The sequence below is a fragment of the Homo sapiens genome, chromosome 2, assembly GCF_000001405.40.
Source record: "Homo sapiens chromosome 2, GRCh38.p14 Primary Assembly".
NCBI classification, from domain to species: Eukaryota; Metazoa; Chordata; class Mammalia; order Primates; family Hominidae; genus Homo; species Homo sapiens.
The window spans coordinates 189,772,276-189,796,150 of record NC_000002.12 but is presented as its reverse complement, the minus strand read 5'-3'; the positions used below and the strand labels follow the sequence as shown (position 1 = coordinate 189,796,150).

The 23,875-nt window shown below is 38.2% G+C and overlaps 2 protein-coding genes across 36 annotated transcripts in view, besides 6 other annotated features; one reads left to right on the top strand and one right to left on the bottom strand.

Annotated features, from left to right (window-relative positions):
- Nucleotides 1-11,701, bottom strand: part of PMS1 (PMS1 homolog 1, mismatch repair system component) — a 93,180-nt gene extending 81,479 nt beyond the window's left edge. For 7 of the 23 annotated variants that reach the window (NM_000534.5, NM_001128144.2, NM_001128143.2 and 4 more), the window contains exons 1-3: nt 11,558-11,701; nt 4,210-4,361; nt 200-382 (exon numbers count right to left, since the gene is read on the bottom strand). In NM_000534.5, the coding sequence (NP_000525.1) occupies nt 200-382; nt 4,210-4,341 (315 nt within the window). In that variant the 5' untranslated portion in view covers nt 4,342-4,361; nt 11,558-11,701. Of the gene's footprint in view, nt 1-199; nt 383-4,209; nt 4,362-10,679; nt 10,806-11,380 lie in introns of all 23 variants that reach the window. The other 16 variants (NM_001321046.2, XM_017004350.2, XM_017004347.2 and 13 more) reach the window with 7 other exon arrangements.
- Nucleotides 11,284-11,333: an enhancer, noted in NCBI's record as "active region_16857". NCBI's record gives its function as "activates an Ori minimal core promoter by ATAC-STARR-seq in GM12878 lymphoblastoid cells {active_cell/tissue: GM12878}" and the evidence as "EXISTENCE:reporter gene assay evidence [ECO:0000049][PMID:35858748]".
- Nucleotides 11,639-12,525: an enhancer, noted in NCBI's record as "NANOG-H3K27ac-H3K4me1 hESC enhancer chr2:190648352-190649238 (GRCh37/hg19 assembly coordinates)". NCBI's record gives its function as "activates a minimal SCP1, AML or CMV promoter by ChIP-STARR-seq in naive H9 embryonic stem cells {active_cell/tissue: H9 hESC(naive)}" and the evidence as "EXISTENCE:reporter gene assay evidence [ECO:0000049][PMID:30033119]".
- Nucleotides 11,694-11,743: a silencer, noted in NCBI's record as "silent region_12173". NCBI's record gives its function as "represses an Ori minimal core promoter by ATAC-STARR-seq in GM12878 lymphoblastoid cells {active_cell/tissue: GM12878}" and the evidence as "EXISTENCE:reporter gene assay evidence [ECO:0000049][PMID:35858748]".
- Nucleotides 11,812-23,875, top strand: part of ORMDL1 (ORMDL sphingolipid biosynthesis regulator 1) — a 20,481-nt gene continuing 8,417 nt past the window's right edge. For 5 of the 13 annotated variants that reach the window (NR_163942.1, NM_001371387.1, NM_001371384.1 and 2 more), the window contains exons 1-3: nt 11,812-11,882; nt 13,549-13,729; nt 20,435-20,586. Coding sequence is in view for 12 of the 13 variants with exons in the window: in NM_001371387.1 (NP_001358316.1) it covers nt 13,556-13,729; nt 20,435-20,586 (326 nt within the window). In the remaining variant the exon portion in view is untranslated. Of the gene's footprint in view, nt 13,730-20,434; nt 20,587-22,036; nt 22,303-23,875 lie in introns of those variants that run through there. The other 8 variants (NM_001371386.1, NM_016467.5, NM_001371388.1 and 5 more) reach the window with 6 other exon arrangements.
- Nucleotides 11,884-12,113: an enhancer, noted in NCBI's record as "active region_16856". NCBI's record gives its function as "activates an Ori minimal core promoter by ATAC-STARR-seq in GM12878 lymphoblastoid cells {active_cell/tissue: GM12878}" and the evidence as "EXISTENCE:reporter gene assay evidence [ECO:0000049][PMID:35858748]".
- Nucleotides 12,124-12,183: an enhancer, noted in NCBI's record as "active region_16855". NCBI's record gives its function as "activates an Ori minimal core promoter by ATAC-STARR-seq in GM12878 lymphoblastoid cells {active_cell/tissue: GM12878}" and the evidence as "EXISTENCE:reporter gene assay evidence [ECO:0000049][PMID:35858748]".
- Nucleotides 12,274-12,353: an enhancer, noted in NCBI's record as "active region_16854". NCBI's record gives its function as "activates an Ori minimal core promoter by ATAC-STARR-seq in GM12878 lymphoblastoid cells {active_cell/tissue: GM12878}" and the evidence as "EXISTENCE:reporter gene assay evidence [ECO:0000049][PMID:35858748]".

Below are 23,875 nucleotides of genomic sequence, written 5' to 3'. Positions count from 1 at the left end.
CTGACCTCAGGTGATCCACCTGCCTCAGCCTCCCAAAGTGCTGGGATTACAGGCGTGAGCCACCTCGCCCGGCTTATGTTATGTATATTTTACCATAATAAAAATAATTAAAACCATACTTCACCAAATACTGGGTTAGTTTTAACTGTAATGTTCAGTGAATATGAAATCACTAAAATAACCAATATAATTACCTTACCTCAGCTATACAACAAATTGACCCCAAGGCTTCTCCACGAAAACCGTAAGTTGTCAAATTTTCAAGATCTTCATGACTATTTATTTTTGAGGTGTAGTACTTCATTGCCATTACAGGTGCATCAACAGCCTTGATACCCTCCCCGTTATCTCGCACCTCAATTTTATCAAATCCATAGTTCTCCTATAAAATGTCAAAAAACACTTTTAATATGTAAAAATATTAAACTGTTATCACACTTAGAAAGAAACACAAGTGAAAGAATTTTGACATTTATTTACTTTTATGGAAGCATAGCATTATGGATATAAGAGTTTAAATTCTTCAGCTCTACTAATTTCTAGTTATGGTGCAACAGGCAACTCCCTTGTTTTCTCTGGACACAGATTCAACTGTTGAATAAGGAGGTTAGGCTGATCTTTAAGGTTGCTTTTCACTGTTTCATTATCATGGGTATTTACAATAAACAATAATTTATGTTTAAATTTGACTAAAAAAATTCTTCTGAATTACATACACCTTTGGTATGCATGGCCCCAAAACAAAACAGAACAGAACAGAACTCCATCAGCGACAAAGTAACACATGTTCTAGTCAGGCAGAACCTAGCAAGTATCATTATTCAACCTGATTTTTATTTATTTATTTTGTTTTTTGTTTTCTTATTTTGCTTTTCTATGGCAGGAATCAACCTAATATTTAATACTTTCTCCCTTACATAAAAATCTATGTTTACTACATTATAACTTTCTAAATCTTTTTCTGCAAACAGCCATCTAACAGGAAACTGCTGAGAAAACACATCTAATTTAGCAACCACAGTAAGTTTTTAATTTGAAAAAAAATCAAGACTTTTTTTAGATACTTTGTCACTCAGGCTACATACAGTACAGTGGCATGATCACAGCTCACTGTAGCCTTGAATGCCTGGGCTTGTGATCCTCCCACCTCAGCCTCTTGAGGTGCTGGGACTATAGCTGCATGCCACAGTGCCTAACTATTTTTATTTTTATTTTTTGTACAGGTGGGGTCTCACTTTGTTGTCCAGGCTGGTATCAAACTCCTGGCTCCAAGCGATCCTCCTGCCTCAGCTTCCCAAAGTGCTGGAATTACAGGTGTGAGCCATCATATCAGATGAAAATCTTTTCAAAATCTCAATTCATAGCTTAGTTTTATATTCTTATACTAAAAATATACATATATAACAAAAACAAAATTTAAATTCCCATAGTGATCATACTTTCTATGAACACCATATTCTAAATTTGGCAGCCAACTTCCATAATAAATAAGTCTGACTTTACTCCACAAAGTCTTATGTGTATGACCACAGATGCAAGTTACAAAGGGGGAAATAAAATCTTTCTATAATTATACTGACTCTGGTATTTAAAATAAAATCACATCTTTTTAATAACCTAAAATGATATAATACTGTATATGTCGGCAATTTTTAGATAAATTAGATATACAAAACATTGGAGAGAGATGCCTAAGATTTTGTTCCTCACACCTCTCTCAATCTAAAATTCAGTTTGGCTGGGCACAGTGGCTCATGCAAGTAATTGCAGCACTTTGGGAGGCCAAGGCAGGCAGATCATTAGAGGTCAGGAGTTTGAGACCAGCCTGGTCAACATGGTGAAACCTCGGTCACTACTAAAAATACAAAAAATTAGCCGGGCATGGTGGCACACACCTGTAATCCCAGCTACTTGGGAGGCTGAGGCAGGAGAATCGCTTGAGACCGGGAGACGGAGGTTACAGTGAGCTGAGATCGCACCACTGCACTTCAGAATGGGCAACAGAATGAGACTGTCTCAAAATAAATAAATAAATGAATAAAGTTAAGTTTACATTCTGGGAACTGTCGGTCTTCTATATTTTAAAGAAAAATCAGGCCAAGTATGGTGGCTCACGCCTGTACTCCCAGCAATTTACGAGGCTGAGATGGGTGGATCACTTGAGGTCAGCAGTTCGAGACCAGCCTGGGCAACATGGTCTCGAAATCCCGTAATAAGAACACAAAGATTTGTTTAAATGTTCAAAATAGTACCATCACGTTTAATTAATTATGAAAACATATCTAGTCAGGATAGCTATTATAGCATAAAACCATAATGAAACAGGTCTTATCATGTAGAGCCACACATTTAAGGTGTATATCTTAAAATTCTACAAAGCAAATACTGGTAAATGTCAAGAGACTAAAATTTACAGCCAGATTAAAATATTTAACTTAGTTTATACAGGACTTCTGTTGGCTTTGTAACACTGTTTTAAAAACCAGTTTTTCTTCCAGAAATGTTTAAGAAAAAGATGTCTGCCTGCCAAAGATTCTTAAGTGAAGTCTGTCAGATATAACTATCTAATCCTGTTTAATTATTATCAATTATACTCTAATCAGACTGAACTGACTATATGAAATGCCTAAGAAAAACAAATTGTCTTTCTTTGGGTATAATTTAATATACTTGTTTTCTCGTTTATAAAGCTTATAGTGTATTCAAAACAGAACAGAGGTTTGATATAGAAGAATGGTTCTCAAAGTGTGTTCCATAACCCACCAGCATCAGCATCAATTAGAAATTTACTAGAAATGCAAATTCTCAGGCCCCATCTAGACTATGAAGTTGTATGAGTAAGACCCAGTAACAGTTTTAACAAACATCCTAAGTTATTCTGATGCACCCAAACATCATGAGAACCACTGGCACAGAGAGAAGATCAAGAATGGGTTTTAAGAGTCAGAAAGACCTGGATTCTAGTCTTAGCTCCACTACTTACTAATTATGAGACTTTGGGAAACTTCTCAGAACATTATCTGTAAAATGGGTATAGTATGGCTGGGCATGAGTGGCTCACGCCTGTAATCCCAACACTTTGGGAGGCCGAGGTGGGCGGATCACCTGAGGTCAGGAGTTCAAGACCAGACTGGCCGACATGGCGAAACCCCATCTCTACTAAAAATACAAAAATTTGCCAGGCGTGGTAACAGGTGCCTGTAATCCCAGCTATTCAGGAGGCTGGGGCAGGAGAATTGCATGAACCGGGGAGGGAGAGTGCAGTAAGCTGAGATCGCGCCATTGCACTCCAGCCTGGGCGAAAAAGCGAGACTCTGCCTCAAAAAAATAAAAAATAAATAAATAAATAAATAAAAAATAAAATGGGTATAGTAGTAGTTAAGTCACAGTGTTTTATGAGAAGTGATTTATAGAAGGGATTTTATTTTACATATATATATATATATATATATATATATATATTTGTGTCCATATATATATACATGTTTATCTCATAGAATCTTATCTGGTAGATAAGAAAAAGTTAGGTCCCTTTCCTACAAATATATTTCTATCAGCATTGTTTCTAGTTCTATAACACTAGAAATAGCATAAATATCTGATAATTAAGAGATTTTAAAAAATGTATTCTTACATTCAATCAGATTTATTTACCTTCCTAGTGCATACTAGGTACTAGCCAGGTACAGAGGACACAAAAATGAATAAAATAGACCATATCTCTATGTGTTAGCAATTTAGAACAGGGGAACTAGTCATGGAAACTAATTGCAATAAATCATAATGAGTGATATAGGCCATATTTACTCAAATGATTTAATATACAGCACTTAAATTTTAAAATGTGAAAAAAGTAACAAGGGAAATGGTTTGAAATTAGATTAGATGGAAAAAATAAAATGCAAAAGTAAATCCCTAAAACAAGGAAATATGAATAACCAATATTTGTAGAAAATACAAACATTAGATGTCTTAGGTGATGGAGACCTAAAGAACATGTTTTCTTTTATATTTCCTTTAGTGTTACTATAATGTTAATTTAAATTAAAATTTATTTTTAAGGATTTACTCTTAAGACAAAGGGTCCAATGTCCTAAGAATAATTTATTGGTGTAAAGAAATAAAATAAAGGTAACAGTTTAAGGAGAAAACATGTGTCCAGACCCTTTTCTTTGTCTTAAAGGTATTTGGGTTCTCAAGGACACTCACCAGTTTAACATCTACGCTTGTGGCACCAGCATCCAAGGAGTTTTCAATAAGCTCTTTTACAACACTGACCACCGAAGTGATGATCTGAGAACTTGAAAGGAGTCGAACTGTTGCCGCAGGCAATTGTTTCATTTTCGCTTTTAACAGAGCAGCTAGAAGATAAAAATGCAACTTGTAAGAATTGTTAAGCATTCCTGACCAACAGGACAAATGGCAATAATAATGACAGATGAAAATAGATCATCTTCACTGAGACTTACTGTATGCTACGCTCAACTGTTAGCACATACAATATTAAGTCTTCTATTTCTTCTTTTTTTTTTTTTGGAGATGAAATCTCGCTGTCACCCAGGCTGGAGTGCAGTGGCGTGATCTCGACTCACTGCAACCTCTGCCTCCCAGGTTCAGCCACCCCTGCCCCAGCCTCCAGAGTAGCTGGGATTACAGGTGCCCACCAGGACACCTGGCTAATTTTTACATTTTTAGTAGAAATGGGGTTTTGCCAAGTTGGTCAGGCTGGTCTCAAACTCCTGACCCCAACTGATCCGCCTGCCTTGGCCTCCCAAAGTACTGAGATTACAGGCGTGAGCCACCACGCCCAGCCATAAGTCTTCTATTTCTTATTATTACCCTATGAAAATAGGTGCCATTATCACCTCAATTTTATAAAACTACTAAGGCATAAAGAAATTAGAAAACTTGTCCAAGGTCATCCAGTTATTAAGAGGCAGAGCTAAGGCAAGTCCTTCAACAATTCCTCTATTGATACCTAATATATGAATACATATAAATGCCTATGAATAAAAATAACCAAAAATGGGTTCAAAAAATCCACAATATTCTGCCACAAGCACCTAAAAAAAAAAAGTCCACAATAACATTAGAGGAAGAAATTGCTTTTTTTCTAATTTCTTCCAGGATTTTGTGTGACTAATTATATTCTGACTTTTCTTGCAAACTCGAACTCTGTATTTCCAACTGCCTGCTGAAATAATCACTAGCTCAAACTCCGGGTATAATTACCAATCCCTACCCTAAACCCACAACTTTCCTACAGGAATTATCCATTCACCCTGACTCAAATCTAATCAACTCCTAAATCCTATCAATTCTTTTCTCAGTATTTCTCACATTTAGTTCCCAATATAATTTCCTAATTAGCCTCAATGACTCTTCACCTTTGGTCACCCAGTCTATACTGCCGTTTATTAAAATGATGATTACAATAAGAACAGCAACTACTACATTAAATATATAGTATGCTAAACACTTTACATATAGGATTGCATTTAAACCGCTAAACCATAGAAAGTAGGTACTATGAATAAAACATTATACTTATTATTATGGACATTTAAGAGGCTGAAAGCTGAGTAAGTAACTGGGCCCAGGTACTTTTGAGATTTTTATTTCAAATATATTTCCTTAAATGTCTGTGCCAACTACATCTTGGTCCAAACTCATTACAGTAGATCACCGAAAGCTCACAGATACTGGAATCAAGACATGCATGTTCTAAAAAGATTTCTTAAAAACAAATGCTATGGTAATAACTGAATAATGATAAGAACAATTGTGCTATAATGAGTGTAATGTTGGCTGAGAATGACCAAGTGATAATATAACTTTGGGAAGTGGATAATGACAATCAGTTATGTGCCTTACCAACAGTCTCATTTAAACATCATTAGTCATCCATACATTCTGATGAATTATAATGTCTTTTTCAATCACTGAGCTCCTTTAGAGTTAGGATTACTGTTAATCTGAACTGGTCTCATACCAGACATGTCAGATAACTATCCTCTATATTATTCTGCCTACGACATTATTTTAATCATGTGGCTCCTCAAAGCCAATAATATAAAGCTCAAATCTCTAAGTTGGCATTTGAGGTCCTTTATAGATCCAACCTGCAGATCCAAAATCTCTGTTGGTAACTGGAAATCCTTTGTTCAAACAAACGAAAAATCCAAAAACGTCCTATGGAAATTCCATCTGTAAAGCATGCAGGGAGGGGGGTGCTTTTTGCATCTTATTGCCTAATTTCAGAAAAGATTACAGGAAAATAAGCACAAGCTTGACAACATGCAATTCCTCTGCAGAATCAAGATTTTATTGGACCAAAAAAAATGGGGGCTGGGGGTGGACTCAAGGTACTTTGTTTCCCATGACTAGTTACATGCTCCTATGATGATTTAATCCTATGCAATCTAGGTGCAAATAAAATAGCAACACCGAAAACAAACACAACAAAAAGTCATCAGTTTAGGATTATTTCTCAGGCAGCATAAGACAAAGACATGTAAAGAAAGACTCAGTAATTGAGTAGGAAATGGAGTACAGGCACTATAACAATTACACAGGAGTTTAAGGAATGCACTTCTGGGAAGAGGCCGACATATTGGGTTCTGAGAGTGTTAACTGATCACAGTTCATAAATACAGTATATTTTGCTATATAGAAGGCAAAGGTGATTGGCACAATGAAAAAAATGTAACAGACCAGAGCCTATAAAATAGGTATTGGGGGTTCACCTTTATTACACATAAACTCAGCAAATCACTGAAATCCCTCCATAAATCAATTTGTCATCTATAAAAATGGAGCAAATCACTCAAATCCCTCCATAAATCAATTCATCATCTGTAAAGATGGAGCTAATACCTCACTGGTTTACTGTGAAGAATCAAATAAGGAAGAATATATAAAGTGTTGTTCTACAAATGATAAGGCCTTATAAAATGTAGAGTATTATAATAAGAGATCATTATGTAAAGGAATGCTGAGAATTCTTTTTAAATACTAACTACCCTCTAATTAATCTATATATTTGATTTAGTTTTGGGGTACCCAGTTCTCAGGAGAGCAGCTGTGAACAACTACCTTTCAATAGTTGTTTTTGTTGTTCTCAACAGCTGGGAGGCTTTCCTGTCCCAATCAAGCAGGGAAACAGTGGACTATAGGCTACTCCATCATCATAACATTCACACAAATTAGTGCTGTCACAAGCAAAAGGCACCTCTGCACTTTTCCAAAGCTTCAGAATTACCTCGATCTAAGGGACAGATCTGCACTGTCCAATATGGTAGCCATCAGTCATATGTAGCTTACTGAACACTAGAGCACTAGAAACGTGGGTAGTCCAAATTGAGATGTGCTAATACACACTCAATTTCCAACTCAGCATTAATAAAAATCATATCAATTTTTTACATTGATTATAGGATGAAATGATTTTATCCTATTTGGATACACTAGATTACATAAAATATATTATTAAAACTAACCTTTTAAAAAATCTGTTTAATGTGACTACTAGAAAATTTAAAATGATAGATGTGGCTTATAGTTCCATTGAACAGTGCTGGATAGAGCAGTGGTTAAAATGGCAGGCTCTGAAATCACACTACTTTGGTTTTATCCTAGCTCTTACACTAACAGATATGTAACACTGAGGAAATTAAACTCTCTAAAATGCAATCACCTAATCTATAAAATGGATCTAATAATGATATCATATGATTGTGGTGAGAAGTAAATAAAGTAGTATATATAAATAATGTATTACAGTGTTTGGCATATAAGTGCTAAAAACATCCCAGGATACTGGGACTAAACTGAGCTCCTCTAAACCCCTAAATGAACAATCCCCCCACCTCTAACCCCTACCCCAAAGGGGCTCACACATTAGGCCTGGGTTCAAGAAGTCTTCCACCTCAGCTAGGAAATCCCAAGGATCTAAGAAAAACACTGATCAACAAAACTTTGGGGTATAAACTTAGACTGACTCCTTCTGAGCAGTCTTAATCTCATCATCTTTGTCTCGTTTCCTATAATACCTCATCTCCTACAATGCCAAATCCAAGATCTTTTTTTTTTAAATCTCTATAATTGCATCCCAATATTCCTCATTCTTCTAGTTTACTAAGATCATGGCAATTCATAGCATGAATTCTGTCACACTTTATCTACCCCATCCCATTGCATCCTCTGGTCTTAAGATGTCTGCATCTCTTTTCATACTCTTCTTCCATGTCATGTCATCTTTCTTCTCTCCTAATTGCTACAGTCTGAATATTTGTGTCTCTACCAAATTCATAAGCATATGATATCTGTATTGTCTCCATTTTATAGATTAGCTGATTGAGTTTTAGAAAGTTTAATTTCCTCAGTATCATATAGCTGTTAGTAAGAGCTAGGATAAAACCAAAGTAGCGTGATTTCAGAGCCTGCCATTTTAACCAGTACTCTATCCAGCACTGTTCAACAGAACTATAATGTACATACATCATTTAAAATTTTCTAGTACTCACATTAAAAAAGCTAAAAAAAAAATAAAAAAGTGAAGTTAATCTTAATTACGTATTTGGATAATCTAATATATTCAAAATATCAAATATCATTTTGTCCTATAATCAATGTAAGATAACTGTAAAGATTAAATTAATTAAATTGTATAATTAAACCTACTACATCTTTGTCCTGAACTGTAAAACTTTTTTTTTCCTGCTGTACAACTTTTGAATGTAGGAAATTATGTATTATGTATCTCTGGATGCCAGGCAGAACAATCAAATGCTTCACCCATGGCAAGCCCTTCACTTCATGAATATTAATGAAGGACCACTAAATATAATTTATCAGCATCTTTCTTATGCTAACGCAAACATTAGAAAAAGTATCCTCCTTCCCTTTATATACATAATTTCAATTGGCTTCCACACCATCCTCCAGCTCACCTGTATCTCACACTTTTTTTCTGGACTTTAGGGCCTTACTTCCATCTACCTTCTAAATATCATCATTTAGATGACCTGAAGGCAACCTAAACATAACATGTCCCAAACTGATCAGAGAATCTTTCTCTTTCTTTTTTTTGAGACAGAGTTTCAGGTTTCGCTCTTGTTGCCCAGGCTGAAATGCAATGGCACAATCTCCGCTCACTGCAGCCTCCACCTCCCGGGTTCAAGCGATTCTCCTGCCTCAGCCTCCCGAGTAGCTGGGATTACAGGTGCCCGCCACCACACCTGGCTAATTTTTTGTATTTTTAGTAGAGCCAAGGTTTCACCATGTTGGCCAGGCTGGTCTCAAACTCCTGACCTCAGGTGATCCGCCCGCCTCGGCCTCCCAAAGTGCTGGGATTACAGGCGTGAGCCACCACGACTGGCCTCTAATCAACTTTCTTCCTATATTTCTTGTTTGATAATAAAAGTAATAGCCAACATGAGAATTTTATATATATTATCCTATTTAATCCTCACAACAACTCTACGTATTCTATCATCCTTTATCACCAAATAGGATTTAAAGGCATGGTAACTTGCTCAAGATCACAAAACTATTAAGTGGCAGATGCACACCTTGGCATGTTTGACTCCAAAGGCCATGCTCTCAAACACCTTCCATCCAAGCACATAAAGCAAAATTAGAAACCTTGAAGTCATCCTAGAAATTCTACTCGCTCTCTACATCCTGCCACCCAGTCATCTCTCTCCTACTATCTAAATGTTTCCCAAACTAGTCCTCTCCTCTTTGTACTGCCTCCATTCGGCCTTTCTCTCCTGAACTACTGCAATAACCACCTAATTGATATTTTGACTCGAATCTCAACCACCTATAGGGTTCTTTCTGTATTTAAATTTCATCATGTTGCTGCCCCACTTAAAATTTTTATAAAGGTTTCCAATTGCCAACCAGGTTAAGTACAAACTTCTTAACAACTGGATTTTTGCCTCCTCTCCCAGTCATCCCATCGTTGCCCAAATGTGCTCTAGGGCGATCATACTGCACAGCTCGTCTTTTTTTATTTTTTATTTTTTGTGACAGGGTCTCACTTTGTTGCCCAGGCCAGAGTGCAGCGATTTTGGCTCACTGCAACCTCTGCCTCCCAGGTTCAAGCAATTCTCCTGTCCCAGCCCTGCAAGTAGCTGGGATTACAGGAGCGCACTACCACGCCCGGCTAATTTTCGTATTTTTAGTAGAGACAGGGTTTCACCATGTTGGCCAGGCTGGTCTCGAACTCCTGACCTCAGGTGATCCGCCCGCCTTGGCCTCCCAAAGTGCTGGGATTACAGGTGTGAGCCACCGTGCCCAGCCAACTTGTCTCTCTTAACATGGTGACACTCACTCCTTCCTCAGCTCACATGGTTCTCTCTCAGCTGACTTCTAATCATCCTTCCAGATTTAGTTCAGTATCAACTCTTCAAGCCTTTCTTCCCTGCTGCAGCCTCCTTTCCTTCACCTGCCAACAGATTAGGTATTCCTTCCCCTGCAGTCCCCCTTTACCTCATTTCTAATTAACCTCATCACAAGTTACTCTATTAATATGTGTTTCTGTCTGTTGCTCCTGACTCAGAGTTCTTTGAGGACAGGGGTTTTATATCAATCACACATCGCTAGCATAGCCCCTGGAATATAGCACTCTATACCATATGTGTACCAAATGGAAGGGTTTATATCGGGCTTACAAATCACAGCAAAGAATGTCTGGGAATATCAGGATAGTCAGTCTTCCATATTTGCTGGGAGGGAAAAGGAACACTTCTGAAGAAGTGCTGATGACCCGGAAAGTCAGTTAAGGACAACAGGTGTGCCTAAAAAAGAAGTAAAGATCAGAGAACTCACAGACTTCCATTAGAGAGAACACAAAGAAATCATTTATTTAAAGATCAGACTAAATCCAAAACAATTAGGTTCACAAAGCCAACAGAAATGCAAGATACAGACATACACAGCCAACATTCTCTTAAGTCAATTTCAAAATGTTGAAAGCTATTTCGGCAATAAAAATCACAAACTTTCTGCACTGCCAAGGTGAGGGAAATTACATTTCAAAGGCGATTCCAAAAAAACCTAATCAAGACTTTCCTCAGGATCAATTTTTGGTATTCACATTTCCTTAGCATGTAATACAGGTGCCTGTCTTCGGCGTACGGATAAACCCAGAAGGCCAAGAGCAAAAATCGTGATTAACTTTAAAGAGTTTAACTTGCACCCCTTGTATGATGCCACAGGATACAATACTATAAACCGCCACTCACACAAGATGAGTTACAGTTGCCATGGGTTAAATCTGCTGCCTGGAAAACAAATTTTAAGTCCTCCACCCAGAAGGGTCTGGGGAATGGGACGCAACAAAGACCAAGCCAGAACACCCCGGAGCCCAGACCTGCTCAGAAAACGCGTTCCACGTGTGCGCGCCCGCAAGCCCGGCTTCGCTTCCCGCCCCGCGGGGAGCGCCCTTAGCTGCCCTATAGCGTTCGCGCCCGGACCAGGACGAGTAGAGGGGACGGGGCCCTCGAGCCATCGAGGATATAATAAATACCCGTTAGTCACACCACACTACCTTCCTGCTAGCGCGAGGCAGGCAATTACCATCCACTAGCCGCAAGCAGCCAGCGTCTCACCCGATGCGCAGGCCCAACCCCGCACCCGCACCCGCACCCAGCACGCACGCGCGCGGCAGAGCGGGTGCAGAGAGCGCGGCACTGAGTCCCGCCTCGCCCGGGGGCAACGTGAGATTGGCGCTGCTCGCAGCCAATCCGCTGGCAGCGAGTCTGTCCGGGAAAGCTTCCGCAAGCTGCGCAGCGCCGGGCCTGAGGGCGTGTATCCGCGGCCGTAGCAGCCGGGCTGGTCCTGCTGCGAGCCGGCGGCCCGGAGTGGGGCGGCGGGTAAGTGGGCACGAACGCGGTGGACGCTGTACAGTCGCCTTCGTCGGTAGGGAACTGCTGGCGGCCTAGGGGTCGTCCTGAGAGGGAAAAGCGGGCTCCGGCTGCATCTGCGGCGCCCTGCGTGGCCGTAAGAGCCAAGTGGCCTCAGAGGCTCGCCCCCTACGCAAATCCTCGTTGTCTTGCCAGGGTCCTGACGTGACGTGCGGCCGCGAGAAGGAAGGGGCGGGTTGGGGGAGGCGCTGAGGTGGTAGCAGCGGCGGCTTTTGCTGAGTTTTCTCTGGCCCAGAGCGCTCGGGCTGTCGGTCTAGCAGGGGGGACTCCCCTGAGGGGCCGCTGCGGGTCGCCGTCTTCGGAGGCACCGGCGAGGGCAGAGCCAACAGCCTCTTCACGGTCTGTAAGGTCATTGTTTGCCAGTCGTGGGCAGCGCGGCAAACCTGCTGGGAAAAGGTTTTCTGGTTGGAATAGGATGAGTACCGCACCAGCTTTGCCTTCCAGCTGAGATGTAAATTTCAGGCCTCCATCCTGTGGAACGTGGGAAAACTATCTTGAGTGTTGGCATGTTCTAAGTATGACATAATAGTTTAATGTATGATAAATCATGGGTGTTTAGACGAAAGATTTACACATATAAATTGGAGGCTTTAGCGGTCTTAGTGTAACTAACTTTTCGTCCCCTTAACCCTTGATGCCTGTTCTATGGGTCTCTAGAGCGGAAGGAGCATTATACTCCGGAAACATTTGCTGGAAGGGGTTATGAGAAATTCCTCTCTGTATGCTAACTCCGTAATACAAGCGTTTGTGTATTTTAAAATCACAGCTGTTCCAAATATAATCTAGCCTCGTTTTCCCCCTCCGTCGGATGATAGGTGTTCTTCAGGACAGTTTTATTTTAAGCAATTCTTAGTCTCAAGTAAACACCATCATTAAAAGAACTGAGAACTATTATCAATTCTTCCTTTGGAGTCCATCTTCAATGGAAAGGAGAAGGGAAAACCTTTTTTAAAAAGAAGAAAGAAAACTGAAGTTTTTGATTTGACTAGAGAAATATTCAGAAGACTCCTTATTTTCACCTAGTTTAATCACAAAATTGAGAAACAAACATTATCCCTTGACCATGTAAATTTTACACCACATTATGTCAACAGCATGTACCTTCCACATTGAGTATTCAGAAAGAAGTGATCTGAACTCTGACCATTCTTTATGGATACATTAAGTCAAATATAAGAGTCTGACTACTTGACACACTGGCTCGGTGAGTTCTGCTTTTTCTTTTTAATATAAATTTATTATGTTGGTAAATTTAGCTTTTGGCTTTTCACTTTGCTCTCATGATATAAGAAAATGTAGGTTTTCTCTTTCAGTTTGAATTTTCCTATTCAGTAAAACAACATGCTAGAAAACAAACTTTTGGAAAGGCATTGTAACTATTTTTTCAAATAGAACCATAATAACAAGTCTTGTCTTACCCTAAAGTCAAATGCTGAAGATTCTTTACTGCTGTCATCAGCATCTACAAGTAGCATATTTTGGATGGTGTTTGTGTGCTACTTCAAAGTAACTAGGAAAAAATAATCCTCGCAACACAGGTACCTTGTCATGTCAGAATTGGGGGTGTTAGGTTGCCAGTTGTATCAGTGTTGATTCATTTCATTACTTCCTACAGAGCAAACATGAACGTTGGAGTTGCCCACAGTGAAGTGAATCCAAATACCCGTGTCATGAACAGCCGGGGTATGTGGCTGACATATGCATTGGGAGTTGGCTTGCTTCATATTGTCTTACTCAGCATTCCCTTCTTCAGTGTTCCTGTTGCTTGGACTTTAACAAATATTATACATAATCTGGTAAGAATTTCACATTATACTAAACACTTAAAAGTTTTAAGTTTAGTGGTTGCCGGAAATTAAGGGGAGGAAGGAATGGAAAGTTATTGCTTAATGGGTACAGAGTTTTTGGTTTTGCAAGATGAAGAGAGTTCTGGATGTGGATGGTAATGGTGATGATTGCACAACAATATGAATGTTTTTAATACCACTCAACTGTACATTTAAAGTCCCAGCACTTTGGGAGGCCAAGGCAGGCAGATCACAAGGTCAGGAGTTCAAGACCAGCCTGGCCAACATGGTGAAACCTCATCTCTACTAAAAATACAAAAATTAGCCGGGCATGGTGGCGCATGCCTGTAGTCCCAGCTACTCGGGAGGCTGAGGCAGGAGAATCGCTTGAACCTGGGAGGCAGAGGTTGCAATGAGCCGAGATCATTCCACTGTACTCCAGCCTAGGTGACAGAGTGAGATTTCGTCTCAAAAAAAAAAAAAAAGTGTCTAAGATGGTAAACTTTATGACATGTGTGTTTAAACATAGTTTTTAAAGAAGCTTAAGGTTTTGTGTTGTATACAACTTAGTTTTTTTAACAGCTTTTTTGAGATATAATTCACATGCAATAAAATCCACCCATTTAAAGTGTATAGTTTAGTAGTTTTTAGTATATAAGACTTAATTTTGAAGAATTCTAATCTGGGATAGAATTTTCTTTTTTCTTTCACGCTTTATTTCAACATTGGTCCTTTTTCTAAGTAAGACTTTTTTTTTTCTCATTGTATAGAATCTAGAAAATAGATCATTTTAGTTTCAATCCTTGTTAACTTATCTATCTAAATAGTGTAAGTATACTTCACTGTTTCAGTATTTAAGTTTTGAACTTAATCATCTTATGTGATTCAGGATCTTATGGTGCCTTAGCTGCTGCTTGTTACTCTCTTGTGTTAGCTCTACAGAGTATCAAAGTTTTGATTGACTGTACTGACCATATTATGCAGCCCTGGAAATTGCCTTTTACAAAAACAAAAAATCTTGACAGCGACTTTTCTTGTCTTTAATAACCCATTAAAGTAACGTGAAAAGGAGGAAATACAGTTAGTTGAGGATTTTAATTGAATCCAGTTTAGCAGTACATTTGTTGAAAGATATTTTTTAAAATGAACTTAAAGCATTAAGACAGGAAAACAGGAGAAATTGATTTTTAAAAATTAATATTTATTTTGGCCAGTCACGGTGGCTCATGCCTGTAATCCCAGTGCTTTGGGAGGCTGAGGTGGACAGATCACTTGAGCTCAGGATTTCAAGACCAGCCTGGGCAACATGGTGAAGCCTGAAATTCTGTCTCTACAAAAAATACAAAACCTTAGCCTGGCATGGTGGCAGCACATCTATAGTCCCAGCTATTCGGGAGGCTGAGGTAGGAGAATCGCTTGAGCCTGGGAGGTGGAGGTTGCAGTGAGCCAAGATCGTGCCACTGCACTCCAGCCTGGGTGACAGTGAGACCCTGCCTCAAATAATAACAATAATATTTATTTTCTATCTTCTGGAGTATATTTGAAGTTGACTGGAGGAGGATAAGAATGATGTGCTGGTAGACATGATAAATATGTGTCCATTTAGTCCATTTTATGTGATAGACTTTGTAAGAGCAAACGATGTTTTCTTTTAAATAGTGACTTCTCTGAAATATTTTACACTAATCATCTCACTTTTGTTGAAACTTCCTTTGGCTTCTATAGGATCACTTTCACCGGCATATATTTCTGACCTTCTCTTTCTTCTTATGGGGTCTTCCTTCTCTTTTCCTCTCTTAAATATTTCTATTCCCAAGGTTCTTTTCTTCATCTCTTCTTATGCTATGTATTCTACCTAGGTTACTTCATCTACCCATATTTTCAGTTTCTACCTGTAGAATAAGGATGCTCCTATTTATTTTTATCACCAGATTACTTTGCACCTTAAACCAAACAAGTATAAATGGAACTTATCTTATTCCTGATTACTCCCTTACCACCCACAATCTGATCCTCTGGCTTCACTACTAATCTTATCTAAAGGCCAAGCCAGACAGCTGAATGTTAATGGTAAAGCAATTAATATACAGGTTGAGCATCCCTAATCAGAAACCCAAAATAGAAAATGTTCTAAAATTAGAAACTTTTTTAGCACCAGTGTTGTGCCACAAGCGGAAAATTCCATACCTGACTTCCTGACAGGTTGCAATTAAAATGCAATCAAAACTTTATTTCATGCACAAAATTATTAAAGATACTATATAAAATTATCTTTAGGCTGTGTGTGTATGATGTATATGAAACATAAATGAATTTCATGTTTAGACTTGGGCCCTGTCCCCAAGATATCTCATTATGTATATGCCGATATTCCAAAATCCAAAACAATCCAAAATCTGAAACACTTCTGCTCCAAAGCATTGTGGATAAGGAATACTCAACCTGTAATGTATAGTCCAAACAGGCTGTTTAGAGAGTAAAATGGAGCTTTGGTAATAACTACTACAAGAGATTAGGTATAATCAGAACCATCGTATGCAAACAAGAATACAAGGTCACCTAAGTCTTAGGATAACTTCTTTTCCTTTATATTCCATATCCATTTGCTCAGAGCACTGTCTTCTACTGCTTTACTCTCAACTTGATCCCCATACCCTCATTTTTTCCTCAAGTAAATTACTCAGATAAATCAAATAGTCTTCTTGATGCTTCTCTACCCTTCTCCATTCCAGCTTGGCAGAGTGATGTTTTAAAAATGCATGTTTGCTCAAGTCATACTCTAAGTCATTCAGTGATCATCCATTGCAGTCATGGTAAAATCCAAGTTTCTTGTGTGACATATAAGACCAGTTGATAACAGTGCAGAAACAAGGAGACTTCACCTTGTCTCAACCATCTCTAAATAGAGGCTATACACTAGCAATAAAGAAAATCATCTTGCTCTCATTTTATTGTTTTGGCTTAAGCTTTTCTACTATATTTTCTTTTCACCTGGACCAAGTACTCTTTTGTTTTTAAGAGACTGGCGTGATCATAGCTCCTCCCACCTTAGCTTCCCAATAAATTTGAGGACTGCAGGCACATGCCACCACACCCGGCTAATTTGTTTTTATTTTAATAGTGATAGGCTCTCACTATGTTGCCCAGGCTGGTCTTGAACTCCTGGCCTCAAGCAGTCCTTCTGCACCATCCTCCAAAAGTGCTGGGATTACAGGCATGAGCCAGCATGCCCAGCCATTTTGTTTTTCTTACAGAGACAGGGTCTCACTCTGTTACCCAGGCTGGAGTGCAGTGGCATGATCATAGCTCACTGCAGCCTCGAACTCCTGGTCTCAAGTGATCTTCCTGCCTCAGCCTTCCAAGTAGCTAGGACTATAGGTGTGTGCCACCATGCTCAGCTGATTGACTGATTGAGATGGGGGTCTTGCTGTGTTACCCAGTCTAGTCTCAAACTCCTGACCTCAAGTGATCCTCCTGTCTCAGCCTCCCAAAGCATGAGTGAGCCATAGTACTCAGGGTCTACTTTTATTTTTTTTGAGATGGAGTCTCTCTGTGTCATCCAGGCTGGAGTGCAGTGGCGCAATCTTGGCTCACTGCAACCTGCACCTCCCAGGTTCAAGCAATTCTCCTGCCTCAGCGTCCTGAACAGATGGGACTACAGGCATGTGCCACTACACCTGGCTAATTTTTGTATTTTTAGTACAGATGGGGTTTCAACATGTTGGCCGGGCTGGACTTGAACTCCTGACCTCAGGTGATCCACCTGCCTTGGCCTTCCAAAATGCTGGGATTACAGGTGTGAGCTACCATGCCCGGCCCAGTCTCTACTATTTTAATACCTCTCCCTCCTTCCTGCTCTGCCTGATTTCCTACAGCAAAACTGTCCCTCCAGGAATCTACACAACTCCCATGCTGCATTCTTTTATCATGTGTTTGTCATTGTTTTATAATTAGCAGTTTATCTCTTTATGTTTTAATTTTTGTATCGCTAAGAACGTATTTAAATGTTTGCCGAATAAGTTAGTCCTTTTTTTTTGAGACGGAGTTTCACTCTGTCACCCAGGCTGGAGTACAGTGGCACGATCTTGGCTCACTGCAACCTCCCCCTCCTGGGTTCAAGCGATTCTCCTGCCTCAGCCTCCTGAGTCGCTGGGATTACAGGTGTGCACCACCATGCCTGGCTAATTTTTGTATTTTTAGTACAGACAGGGTTTCACCATGTTGGTCAGGCTGGTCTCGAACTCCCAACCTCAGGTGATCTGCCCGCCTCGGCCTCCCAAAGTGCTGAGTGTGAGCCACCACGGTTTAGATGCCATCCCTGTACCACCACCACCCCCTAACCGTGTTTCAAGTTGGTTGACCATGGACAAATGATTGGTAATTGACATTGTATAGAAAAGCAAACTTCTGATTTATTTGTTATTAGTTCACCACACTAAAAACTTAATTAGCCATCGGAGTTGCAATTACATGACTCCAAATTTAAGTTTCCTTTGAATATAGCCACATTAAACCAATTAAAAATCTGAAGTACATATTGAATGCCTTTAAAAATGAGAAAATGGACCTAATTGTTACACCCGGTTAGAAAAATACAGTATATTTGCCTTTCTGAACCGTACAGTAGAAACCTACAGTGGTTGCTTTATTAAGTGCTACCTCACCCTTAGAGGTATTAATGCTTCACAGGATTCTTGGCCCAGCTTTAAAAATGAATGATTCATTTTGATTCAGTAGGTATTTAGTAAGGACTAAGCATGAGCTACATACTTTTGTTCTCTAATTCTTTTAATGGAGGAATAATAATCACAAACATTTTTACATAAAAACAATTTAAAAAATATTGGGGCAGTAGATATATGGCCAGATAAGATTTTATTATTTTTCACTGAAAAGATGTATAAAATAAACTGTTTTGATATTCTAAACACTAGTTAAGTACATATGGTTTGAAGGAAATAATGAGAGGATGATTATTCTCTTATATTCTAATATCTATGTGGTCTGGAATAGATGTTCTTAACTTTTTGGGGGTCCTATACCCCCGATGATTTGAAAACATATACTTTCTGTTTTATAATTCACTTTAAAGTCCATATGAAAATGGTTTCGTAGAGCTTACAGAATAAATACTCCTTGGCGTAATGTCATCTTCCAACATTTCTAATGTTGGAAGTGTCCAATGTCTAATGTCTTGCGGTGTCCCAGTGCTTATTCCGAGTGTATTCAGGCTAATGGGAAAACAAACATCATGCAAACAACTCTAACATGATATATTGTACTGTAATCGTATTTTCAATAAAATTGTATACAACTACATAAAGAGGAGATTAATTATTACTAATGAGGTAGGTTTTTCTAAGGAATTGTTATTTGAGCTGAACCTTTAAGAATGAGGTAATGAAGTAGCATCAAGACTTTTGGCACAGCAACAAGGAACCTTTCCCTCCCCTGCCATTTGCTGAGTATTCTGATTGTACCTTTGATAGCAATTTCTGCCCTACTTTCTAGCTGTTTATGCATTTTTTTTCCTTATCATCTCTTGGAGGATTGAATTTTTCCAAGGCTTGGGTACATCTCATTCAATTTCATATGTGCATATATGTCCTATGTCTTGTACATATAAGCCACCTATTAAATGTTTGATGGGTTAAATCCAATTGAACATGAGTCCTTTCCTCCATAGCTTACGTGTTATTGTAGCTAAACGACTTCTGAATTGCCTACTGGAATAACTAGGAAGTAGACTAAGCCTTGAAAGGAAGGGCTTGGTTAAGTTGGTATCATATAAAATTTCAAATCCCTAATTTTTCTATATAATCATTAAAAGTAGAGGTAGGAAAAATGACATCACATTGTGGCGTCTAGAAGGAAAAACTTTGTGTCATGATAATATTTAGGCATTATCCCTTTACATAAAGTGCCTCAAGCAGTGATCCTGAATGAAACACTGCCTATGAGTCTAAATGGGTATCATAATCTCAAGGAAACCAAATCTATAGATTGGTTTTTTTCTACCCTATTGATAAAAAAAATTATATGTTTAGACATATGATCTGACAGAATGGCTTTTAGTAATGTTATTTGCTTTGAGTTTTTAAAACTGACTTCAGAAGAAATGCTATTGAGGCACAATAGCGATTTAAAAAGGGAATTGAGTGGAACATTATACCTATTATATCAAACTATTTTTATTGCTTTGGAAGAGAACTATTAAGGCAAAGGCAGTCATCATATTAAATATCTCAAAACTATTTTTCCCAATAGATTTTAATCATTTTATTGTTTTCTACCACTTTGTATGTCTTTATCATTTTTTAAGTATCATCAAATTTACTAATATACCCTGAAGAAAAACCTCCTGTACATTGGGGAAAAAGTAATCCTATTTCCTAATAGGAAAAGTGTAAGAAAATCTGAATGTAAAGATATGAAGCTACCCTGATAATTATTTTTAGTTTAACGAATAGAAATGCAAACAGGTTACTTTCAGTTGACCTTTTACCAATTCTCACTTAATATTTTTATACCCCAGAAAGTTCTATTTTATTATAAAGAAACTGGCTACAGCCTTTCACTATTATATGAAAGCTTAAAACGAACTCAGTTAAATCACACACTCTCACAAACAGCTTGGAACCTCGTTAATGCTACTGACAAAGACTAATTTTGTATTTAATATTGATCATTTATAACCCCTTGCTTGTTTTCCAGGGGATGTACGTATTTTTGCATGCAGTGAAAGGAACACCTTTCGAAACTCCTGACCAGGGTAAAGCAAGGCTCCTAACTCATTGGGAACAACTGGACTATGGAGTACAGTTTACATCTTCACGGAAGTTTTTCACAATTTCTCCAATAATTCTGTAAGTGGCAGAAATTTTTAGGTATGAGGAGGATTGGATAAGAGGAAGATATCTTTTCATCAGATTGAATTGGAATTAGAAACATATTTTGTTGCAAACTTCTATCAATAAGTAGCACCTCGGATAGAACATAAAATATAGACAAAATTTTTAACAAGTTGATAATAAACTAATTTTCACTTCAGTCAGTACATATACGGAGACAATATTACATGCTAATCAGTGCACCTAGACATTTAGGATATACAGGTCAAATGTATTCCAGCTCCCGTCCTTAGGTTTCATATAAGGACACAAAATACATAATCATATTCTATATTGCACTGTCAGATTAATCTCCTTAAGCAATGATTTAGATAATGAGAAGAATTTCACTGGCCACCTATCCTATTAAGATATTCAGACTCCTTGGGAAAGAGTATGGTTTCGAAAAAAGTAGGTCAGGCTTTCATTATAGGATAGACCTGGGTGGAGTCCTATATATATCACTCAGCCAGCTTGGTTTGCTCATATATAAAATTCTAGCTAGTGATACCTAATTCAATCCTAATGCTGTAAGAAATAAATGAGATAATAATCTACCTGGATAGCATGTAACCTGTATCTGGTATCTAATTTCTTTCTCCTATCTGATGTTCTGGGCCTTCCAGAAAATAGTTCTTACCTCCTTTTCCCTTGATGTAAATATTTTATCCCCACCCAACTCCTACCTGGCCTTCTAAGCAGCATTTCTTGAATATTTCATGTGTAGTCCTATTTCTGTCTTTGTTCAAATCAGTTCAAATCATATCTCCTACCTGAAATGCCTCCTCCTTTTTTCCCCAGCTTTACTGAGGTATAATTGACAAATAAAAAAATGTATATATGTTTTATTTTGTCTCTCCAAAGAATTTATAAGTGCATGGATTGCTTTGAATCCCACAGTAAGTACAGTGGCCTACACATAATAGAGGTATTGCTCATATATCTTAATACTCTGTACCATCTAGCCTATACATAATAATGTCCATGATAGAGTCAGTGCAGCCTGGCATAGCACAAAAGACTTCTTGGAGGTGTTGGAAATCCTTATGTTAGAACTTAAGAGAGACTAGGTTTTAGATATTTAAGTAAGGGAAGGCATTTTTAAAGTGAAAGGAATAAACTGATCATAAAATAATGGGGTTCTTTTTCCTTAATTTATAGCCCTTTGAGGAAATTTTGAATTGATTTAGTCCCATATAATATTAACCTCAAAGAAAAGTGTCAGTGTAGTCTGATAAAAATAAATGTAAGCTACATGGGAAGCTGAGGCAGGAAGATGGTTTGAGCCTAGGAGTTAAGAGGCTGCAGTGAGCTGTAGTCACACTGCTGTACTCCAGTCTGGGCAACAGAGCAAGACCCGATTTATTAAATAAATAAGTGAATGAATGCATGCATGCATGTAATAACAAAAATATTGGTTATTCAGATGGCCCTGAATTTGGATTTTGGCTCAACCCCTTTGAAGCTCTGTGACTTTTGGCCGTTTTCTTCAAAAGCTCAGTTTTCTCATCTGTAAAACATTGAGGATTGCATTATAATACATGTAAAATGCCTGACATTCAGAAGTTTTAATCACAGCTATCACACAAAAAGCCAACTGAGATGTACCTGTATACAGTGTCCATATTTCTCAAAATGTATTTTTGACCAACAGGTATGATTTCAAATATTCTGATTAAATTGCTTACTTAACTGAAGAAATAGCATTAAAGCCATCTATATAGCATTAGGACTTTTCAGTGCTTTCACATTTTCTTATTTGATTATTTGTCAGGTAGGTGTGACATGGAATGTTATTCCAGAATTTTTTTTTTTTTTGAGACAAGAGTCTTGCTCTGCTGCCCAGGCCGGAGTGCAGTGGCATAATCTTGGCTCACTGCAACCTCCGCCTCCCAGGTTCAAGCGATTCTCCTGCCTCAGCCTCCCCAGTAGCTGGGACTACAGGCGTGCACCACCGTGCCCAGCTACTTTTTGTATTTTTAGTAGAGATGGGGTTTCACCATGTTGACCAGGCTGGTCTTGAACTTCTCACCTCAGGTGATCCGCCTGCCTTGGCCTCCCAAAGTGCTGGGATTACAGGGTGAGCCACCATATTCCAGATTTTTAAGTAAAGAAACAGACTCAAATGCATTACCTTGTTGAAGATCTTGCACCTAGTTGGAGTTCAGAGCTCAGGTTAAACCCTAAACTACTATCTTGTAATACAGGTCTCTTTCCAATATAGCTGTTGGCAAATAAATGTTGTCACACTGAGTCCCACCTGGGTTTTGCATACCATCAGAGGATTGCCTAAGTTTTTGAAAGAGTCAAGTAATTTTCATATAATCTACACACAAAATTAGTTTTAATTAAAAGACAAAAAGGGGACATATGCTAGGTTATAGTCAAAAGAACCCATTATAAGATTTATTATTTCTAACCTATCAGATTATAGATTCAACCTGTAATGATGGTGGGAAATGAAATGAGTTTGCTAAATGCAAGTGATGTCCTATTTTGTTCAGTAAAGGAAGTATAAATTTAGTCTTCAAATATATGAAAACAGGAAGAAAGAATTTCAGAATTGAGGAATATGGTTTACACTAGAGAAAGAATTTTCTGACTGTAGTTTGCAAAATAGGTGGAAGATTGTAGAATTTCTCAATCTAGATGGTTTTAAAAATGTATAAAATTCTCTTGTGATGTTTTTTGTCATACTTGGAAGTAGCTCCTCTCTTCTAACCATGTTACACAAGATATTTATTTTCCCTTATGAGAAACTAATGTCAGTAAAGGCTATTAGAATACTTTCCTTGCGTACTGCAAAGACCTAAATAGAAACTAACTTCTTAATTATGAACAAATAAGATATGATGTTTTATTCTTTACATCTTATCTGTATTATTCTGTTAGTAATCAGATGATGTGTCTGCACCTTGATATGATATACCTGTAGGTAAAACTAAACATTCTGGACTTGGTGATTTATGATTTTAAAGGTGCTTTTTAGGCTTGGGGCTTGTTAAAACAAATTCTCAGTTGGATATCCAAAAACATACATGCATTTGATTATTAAAAAGCAGCTGGAATGGTACAACAGTGTCTTTCAGGTTACCGGTTAAACTGGTTATAGAGCTGCTCAACTACAGTATGAAAATGAGAACATCAAAAGGGCAACCAAATATTTATTTCCTTCAAAGATAGGAATTGTACTAATGCACTAAAACCCCATTTTTTGGAGCTTTACAGTACAGGTTCTTAACCTGTGAGTCACAAAACTTTTTGA